The following is an 8,524-nucleotide window of genomic DNA, read 5'->3' on the forward strand; positions in this document are numbered from 1 at the left end:
TGCTAAACATTCCAGACCACTTCTGCTGGGTTAAGTGTGTTAATCTAAAGGTATTTTTCCATACACGGAGCTGGGGAGGATTTCAGGGGCTAGAATGTGGTAGCACGGCAGTGACATTCTCCAGAACGATTCACGGGGACGATTCTGGCTCCCTGGCCTGGCGGTCTCCCCTGTTTCTTCCAGCACAAAACTCTTAGCATCTCTGTTTCCAGGTCCCATTTATGAGTTTTCCAAGAGGATCAGGGGCATGGGGAATGGTGTGAAAACGAGCCTCGTCTGAGGAGAGCATCTAAGTGAGAGGAGTGATGAAGGGCCCCCACGGCAAGATGGTTTCCGTCACAACTCTGGACCTATTCTGGGTCCGGGTTGGAGCTGCTGTAGGGATAACACAGCCACCCTGGGTTTCCTTATACTTAAGCAGAGGCACCTGGAACTACCTTCCCTCCTTGATCGTAGAACGGTTTTCAGTTTTGCTGTAGATAATGCTTAGAAGCTGTGCATCTCTGGCCACGGCTGACATCCCATCCACAGGAAGCGTCCTACCACGCATCTGGTTCACCTTCGGTCTGTGAATGCCATTTCCAGGGAACAACGCTGAGTGGCTGAGAGAACCTGGATTCTTTTCACGGCTCTGCCACTAGCTCGCTAGGTGTTCCTGGAAAGCTACTACCCCTCCCTTGTCCCGTTTCCTCCTGTGAAAAACAAGTGGGCTTCCCTAGATCTCTCTCAGTCCCCCGCCAGTTCTGACAGTCCCTGTGTGTGGGCTGGGCCCTCCCAGGTCTCCCAGTGCCCTTGGGCTGACACGGGACTGCCTGAGACTCAGGGGCTGGAGCCCTGCGTGGGCGGGCAGTTCACCTTTCCAGAGAGCGTTCTGAGTACATGCCCTGGACTGACGGTCTTCACCCTCCTCTCTCCTCACCCTTTTCCCCCCAACCCCAACACTCTTCTGCTTTGGAAAAACACTGGCTTAACAATTTTTCCAGCCTTGTAGGTTTTCTGCTTCTCCCCAGTCCCAAGATCCGTTCTCAATATGTGGAGGCTGCCGCTGCGTGAATGAGGTTTAAAGTGCTTGAGGGGAGCCGCCTCCCAGGCTCTTCCCCTAGGTCTCCAGCATCAGGAGCTCTGTCCTAACAGCTATAGCAAATCTGGGCCAGCAGAGGGCACTACGGAAACAGCCTGAAGCTCTGAGGGCCTCCATGCCTCCAGAAAGCATCTTCTGCAACCCTCGCCTTAAGCCACTCTCCTTTACACAGCCCAGGCCAGCCCTTATCTTTTACAGTGTTGTAATTCCCAGGGCGCAATGTACACACACAGAAGATACACTGCGTAGAAACATACTTGGCGCATATTTCTCACAGGAAGGACTAGCTGAAAGAAACAAGTCTCTTCTCAGTTTCTACCTTCTAAGACAAAGGAGAGATGCCCTTATCTCAGCCGCTCCCCTGCACCTCCCTAGCCTTGCTGGCTCACTGAGGCCTTACTCTAAGGGTGTTGCTTCCAAGTGGCTAGAGACTACAGAAGCAGGCAGTGTTGAGTCCTGAGCAGCAGTCTTGGGTCTTTGGTTATGTGTAGGCTCTGTTCATTATTTGACTAAATCTCAGGGAGCTCCATCCAACTTCAAAAATATTCCTGAGAGAGAGAGACAGAGAGTCAAAGAGCATCGGTCTATGTCCATTCCCTGGAAGGAAGGTGGGGACTGCCCCCCTGCAGCCTCCTGCCTGATGGGAGTCTCATGGTGGGAATAATCAAGAAACCAAGGCCCTGAAAGACATGGACGTGGGCAGCATGCCACCTCTTCCTCCTGTAGAGGTGGTTCTGGTGCTCAGCATTGTGGTGAGGCCTGAGGCGAAGGTGCGTGGGGTTCTGGCTTGATTGCGGCAGGCTGGTTTCTCAGGGAAGAACACAGGCTGCTGGGGCCTTGGGTTGTTATTTTCTTTGAGCACCTGCACTGTGCCAGGCAACACGCCATGGACTGTTGTTGTAGGCTTTCAGGGAGCTTAGAGTTTAGCAGGTGGAGAGAGGAAATGGAAGACGCCTCAGAAGTGATTGAGATCTATTGAGTATAGACTCCACGGGCGAGAAAGGAAGGAGATCAGCAGGAGTGAAGAGGCTTCTTGGAGGATATAGCTAACTCAAGGAGGAGAAGGCAGGGAATTCCTGAGATTGGGAGCTGAGAGTGGGGATTAGTGGGACTGGTGGTGGTGGTGGTGGTGAGTTGTTGTCCCAGTCTACAGAAGGGATGTTCTTGAGAACCGTTGGAGAAGAGTCTGGAGGGTTCCATCCTGACTGTAATGAGTCCTTGTTCTATTAGTTCCTAGGAGAGCTGGTTGTTAAAAGAAGACTGGCACCTTCCCACCTTTTTGCTTCCTATCTTACCATGTGATCTCCACACACTCTCCCCTTTGCCTTCTGCGGTGAGTGGAAGCAGCCTGAGGGCCTCGGCAGATGCAGATGTTGGTGCCATGCTTCTTGTACATCCTGCAGAACCATGAGCCAAAGAAGCCTCTTTTCTTTATGAATTACCTGGAATACTACCCAGAATACTCAGGTATTCTTTTTTTTTTTTTTTTTTTTTTTTTTAGACACGTTTTCGCTCTTGTTGCCCAGGCTGGAGTGCAATGGCGTGATCTCGGCTCACTGCAACCTCCACCTCCTGGGTTCAAGTGATTCTCCTGCCTCAGCCTCCCGAGTAGCTGCACCTCTTTGATTTCCACTCTGAGCACTAATGGCTCCTCACATAGTTATTTTTGTGAAAGACAGGCCAGCGCTCTGTCCTCAACCCCATGTCTATGCACGGTTGCTCCTTTTGCCTGGCATAACCCTCCCAAGGTTGGCACTGTAGCCCTGGCTGGCTGTACTCCTAGTCTTGGCTCTTGCCAGGTTTTGTTTCCCTGGTTTCAGTTACCTGTGGTCAGCCACGGTCTGAAAATATTAAATGGAAAATTCCAGAAATAAACAATTTGTGTGTGAGTAGTGTGAAATTTCATGCTTTCCTGCTCCATCCCACCCGGGATGTGAATCGTCCCTTCGTCCAGCATATCCATGGTGTCTATGCCCCCTGCCTGTTGTCCCTTGGTAGCCTCCTTGGTTATCAGATGACTGTTGCACTACTGCAGTGCTTCTGTTCACGTAACCCTTATTTTACTTAATAATGGTCCCAAGCACGAGAGTAGTGATGCTGGTAATTCGAATATGTCAAAGAGAGCTATAAAGTGCTTCCTTTAAGTGAAAAGATTAAAGTTCTTGACTTAATAAGAAAAGAAAAATCATATGCTGAGGTTGCTAAGGTCTATGATAGGAATGAATCTTCTATCTAGAAAATAGTGAACAAGATATTGTTACATTGTTCTATTTTATTATGAGTTATTGTTGTTAACTTCTTACTGTGTTTTATTTATAAATTAACTTTGTCATATGTATGTATGTATAGGAAAAAAACATAGTGTGTAGAGGGTACTATCTGCAGTTTCAGGCATCCACTGGGGGCCTTGGAACATATCCCTGCATAGGGATAGTACTATACTATAACTGTATAGTACCCAGTTCCTCTTTCATAATTCAAACCAATTTGGAAATCTGCCATCATCTAGCTGTTACCATCTCTCAGGTGTAAGTCACCCAGGCTTGCTACATGCTGAGGGAGACCAGAGGGCCTCTCATTGCCTGCTTAGTTCTTGGAGACCCCCGTCTTCTTTCAGGGCCTGTGGCGTTGGAACTTAAGGCTGTTCCCTGTACTAATTTCCCTGTGAGTTTATAGTCTTTGGCACTACTCACGTTCCTCTTTAATCTGCTTAGTCTTAACTTCAGCAAGGACACATCGTATGTATTTTGGCCTCTGTTTTAGTCGTTAGGCCACACATTTAGCAGTTGGGAAGGCTGATGAATCCAAGAGGAGGTGAGTGTGTGGCTGTAAGTTCTTGCATCAGAAAGGCAGCCAATGTGGTGACGAGGAAGAGCCAGCACTGGGTAGTGCCAAGGATCAACGTCATGGCTCTTTTCTTTTTCCTTTTTAACAAATTAACAGTTAAAATAGTGTGCATTTATCAAGTACAAAATGATGATTTGAAGTAAATTTACATGGTGGAATGACTAAATCTAGCTAAGTAACATGTGCATTGCCTCACATAGTTATTTTTGTGGTGAACACACTTGACATGCACTCTCTTAGCATTTTTCAAAAATATGGTCAAGGTTCTTTCATTGATCTCATGCCCTGTCTTTGTTCCCAAAACCCAATACCAGGCTGGGGTTGCTGGCTTTTTGATCAGAGCCACACGTTGGGTTGGAATCAGCTCCCCCAACATCCTAACCTGGGCCCTGTGTAGGGAAATCCTTTTTGGAGACCTCTGGTACCCTTTTCTATCAAAGACCCCATTGGAATACCCTCAGTCAAGGAGAAGGGTGTGCACTACTATTGAATTCCAGGAGAGAAGGGGTCAGTGTCTTGATTCCTTTCCTCACAGATGCCTTGTTGGCTTCTGTGCATATTTGCCCACTTTCTCCAGGGATCTGTTGCAGTTAGTGAGGGTCATAAATCAACTCGCCTGTCCAGCCACATATAAACGGTCTGATGACACAATTTCCTCAGCAGAGTGAGTACTTACCCACCTTGAAACTGCATAATTAAAAGAATTATTCAGTGATTCCTACCATAACAATGATAATAAAAATCTGCTCGGAGGTGACTCTCTTCTCTATAGACATAATAGAGGCTGATGAAATCTTAAGTTCTATATTACAAAGCATCCCATTTTATAAATAATAATACATTTTATATTTGTATTAGTTAAGACACATAACTTGTTTAGCATGAGCTAATTAAGGTTGGCACATTGATTTCATGTAATTTAAAATAAAAGGAGAGATATTTTGTTTTCTGTGCATCCTTATTAGTTACATGTGTACTATTAGAATTGTTGAAAGATGGCAAATAGAAGACCCACACTATCATCTTCATGGACCAGTAGAGATCTGGTAGTTTTGTTTAATATGACAGGAAAACTTTGTTTCATATTATACAGACATAGAATATATTCCAGCTCAGGACTTCCTAAAAGGATGCTCCGCTGGGCCTGAAAACATGCATGCCCTGCTCTGCTTGTTTGCTCGTGTCTGTCATAGGCTCTGCTGAGGCTTTCTTACTGGATACACTAGCCAGAGAGAGAGCGAGTGTGTGTATGTGTGTGTGTGTGTGTGTAGTATACAATTCAGCATGAACATATATGTTTGTGTTGCAGGAAGTTCATGGGGAAAATAATAACTAATATTTCCAAAGTAATTTAGAATTTCAAAGTCAACATGCTTTCACATACATTAGATTATTTAAAGTATCTCTGAGAACAAAACAACATTCTGTACATGTATGAATATTTTTGAAGATAGACTCTTAGAGGTTAAATTGCTGGTTTAATTTTCTATGTATCCTTCCAAACTTTTCCCACCAATTTACAAACATGTGTATGATTAAAGGTGAGGTCCTTAAGCACTCTCAAAAAACAGAGAATGGACATTGAGTTCATCCTCATTATACTGGTTTCACCTTAGGCTATTCTTAATATCGTGAGTCTGAAAGTAGATGCATAATTATAAATATTGGTGAGGAAAATAATGGCACTGTATGATCCCAGAACAAAAGACTGACCATAAAGTCTGGACTTCAATCAGACTTCAATCCCAAGGCCTGAGATTTTCCAGGATTCAGGTTAGGCTTCTAGAACAGGGAGAAATGTCCTAATTGTGCATGTCCACACATACCAGAGGGCTTATTGAGAAGGAAATTATCCACATGGTCAAGGTAGTAGGGATTATAAAAGGTCCACTTGAGACCAAGAGGCAGATAGTTGGAGATTCCTTCCTTCCTTTTGAATTGTTGAGCTTCTACCAAGAAGTGTCTTGACCCTAGGGATTCACTTCTTGACTTCAAGAGTCATAGTGTAGTGGTGGAGATAAGAAAACCCACGATTATAATACTGTTTGAGAGACTGGCGGTAAGGCGATGGAGTCTGGCTATCACAAAGATTTGAATACTGGCTCTTCTCTATAAGCAGCACCTTTAATTTTCTATGTACTCTTCCAAATATTTTCCCACCAATTTATAAACATATATACATATGTTTATTTAAAATTGATTTAAAAATTCAAAACAGGATTATAATTATGTAATTATAATGCTAATATATTTAGCATTATAAAAATGCTGATATATTATAATTTAATTATAATTTTATAATTAAAAACAGGATTCTATTTTTATCTAAAGCTCTATGTCTTAATAGTTTGACTTTCTCTCTTGTATATCTTTCTTATTTTATTAGTACCTATAGCTGTATCTCATTCTTTTAAAACTATAGCCTAATATTTCAAACGATGAATATACTCATTTTATTTAGACACTTCCCTGTTGACGGATTTGTTAGGTTGTCTCCAATGTTCCCCTATTATAAATAATGCTGAAATGGAATAATGCTATTTTTGTACATGTATGAATAATTTTGAAGGATGGACTCTTAGGGGTTGAGTTGCTGGCTCAAAGAATATGTTTATTTAAAATATTGATAGATATTTGACACTGTCTTCTTTTTTTTTAAATTTTATTATTATTATACTTTAAGTTTTAGGGTACATGTGCACAACGTGCAGGTTTGTTACATATGTATACATGTGCCATGTTGGTGTGCTGCACCCATTAACTCGTCATTTAGCATTAGGTATACCTCCTAATGCTATCCCTCCCGCCTCACCCTACCCCACAACAGTCCCCGGTGTGTGTTGTTCCCCTTCCTGTGTCCATATGTTCTCATTGTTCAATTCCCACCTATGAGTGAGAACATGTTTGGTTTTTTGTCCTTGCGATAGTTTGCTGAGAATGATGGTTTCCAGTTTCATCCATGTCCCTACAAAGGACATGAACTCATCATTTTTTATGGCTGCGTAGTATTCCATGGTGTATATGTGCCACATTTTCTTAATCCAGTCTATTGTTGTTGGACATTTAGGTTGGTTCCAAGTCTTTGCTGTCGTGAATAGTGCCGCTATAAACATACGTGTGCATGTGTCTTTATAGCAGCATGATTTATAATCCTTTGGGTATATACCCAGTAATGGGATGGCTGGGTCAAATGGTATTTCTAGTTCTAGATCCCCAAAGCAATGGCAACAAAAGCCAAAATTGACAAATGGGATCTAATTAAACTAAAGAGCTTCTGCACAGCAAAAGAAACTACCATCAGAGTGAACAGGCAACCTACAGAATGGGAGAAAATTTTTGCAACCTACTCATCTGACAAAGGGGTAATATCCAGGATCTACAATGAACTCAAACAAATTTACAAGAAAAAAACAAACAACCCCATCAAAAAGTGGTCGAAGGATATGAACAGACACTTCTCAAAAGAAGACATTTATGCAGCCAAAAAACACATGAAAAAATGCTCATCATCACTGGCCATCAGAGAAATGCAAATCAAAACCACAATGAGATACCATCTCACACCAGTTAGAATGGCAGTCATTAAAAAGTCAGGCAACAACAGACACTGTCTTCCTTGAAGTTGTTCCAGTTATATCTTAACCAATAGTGTGTGAAAGTGCCTGTTTCCCATATGCTGATCACCACTAGATACTGTCAATATTTTAAATTTTGGACAACTTGTTGGGCAAAAGATAATATTTTGTGGTTAATACTTTAATTTGCATTTCTCTGCTTACCGGTGATTTTGACAGGATTAGTAGTCTTTTGTATTTTCTCTCCTGTGAATCATTTATGTCCTTTGGCTTTTTTTGCTATTTAGAAAAAACTTTCTCTCTCTGACGTAGCTCCTTAAGTACTTTGATTGCTAACCTTTTGTTTGTTGCATATTGTTAGAAGAGGGAACAGCTTTCCTTCATTCCAAATGTTCCCATGTTGAGGAAACTTGAGGCACAACAGTTGAGGTCTCTCTTTACCTCTAGTTAAGAGTGACTTAAAATAATTGTGGAGTTTGGAAGAAAAGACGAGGCAGATGTGGCCAGCAGAGAGCCTTATTCTCTTCCTTCCTTTGGGACCCAGGCTGTCTGGGGGAGCACGTGTTCTGCTGTTTGCCTCCATGCTAGGAGCCTCCCGTGGGAGGAGGCCTATGGTGGCCCAGAACTATCTTTTGGTAACTGTGTTTAAAAGAAAGTTTCACTTCTATAGATATGACCCTCAATAAATATTTGGTGAATAAATGAACAGTGATCATTTTTCTAATTAAAAAGCTAAAAGAGAAACAAAGCTTCTGGAATCAGATGATGGAGAAACTTAAGCAAAAGAAAAGCAGGAGAGAACTACTGCAGAGATGAGACCTGCTCTTCCCCAAGGAACCCTGGAGAAAGTTGAAGCCAGGGATCAATAAGGCCAAGGTGAAACTGGCCCAGGGGATAATAATCATAAAGGTAAATAAGCAAATGACTTTTCCTGGAACAGCCATTTCTGTTCCATTCCATTCTGTCATTTGCTTATTTGCCAGTCTCCAGTCATTTGCCAGTCTCCCTCCCTCCCCTTTTT

At 42.8% G+C, this 8,524-nt stretch overlaps 1 annotated feature.

Annotated features, from left to right (window-relative positions):
- Positions 1,194-1,243: a silencer, noted in NCBI's record as "silent region_4532". NCBI's record gives its function as "represses an Ori minimal core promoter by ATAC-STARR-seq in GM12878 lymphoblastoid cells {active_cell/tissue: GM12878}" and the evidence as "EXISTENCE:reporter gene assay evidence [ECO:0000049][PMID:35858748]".

Source organism: Homo sapiens, chromosome 12 (assembly GCF_000001405.40).
Source record: "Homo sapiens chromosome 12, GRCh38.p14 Primary Assembly".
NCBI lineage: Eukaryota > Metazoa > Chordata > Mammalia > Primates > Hominidae > Homo > Homo sapiens.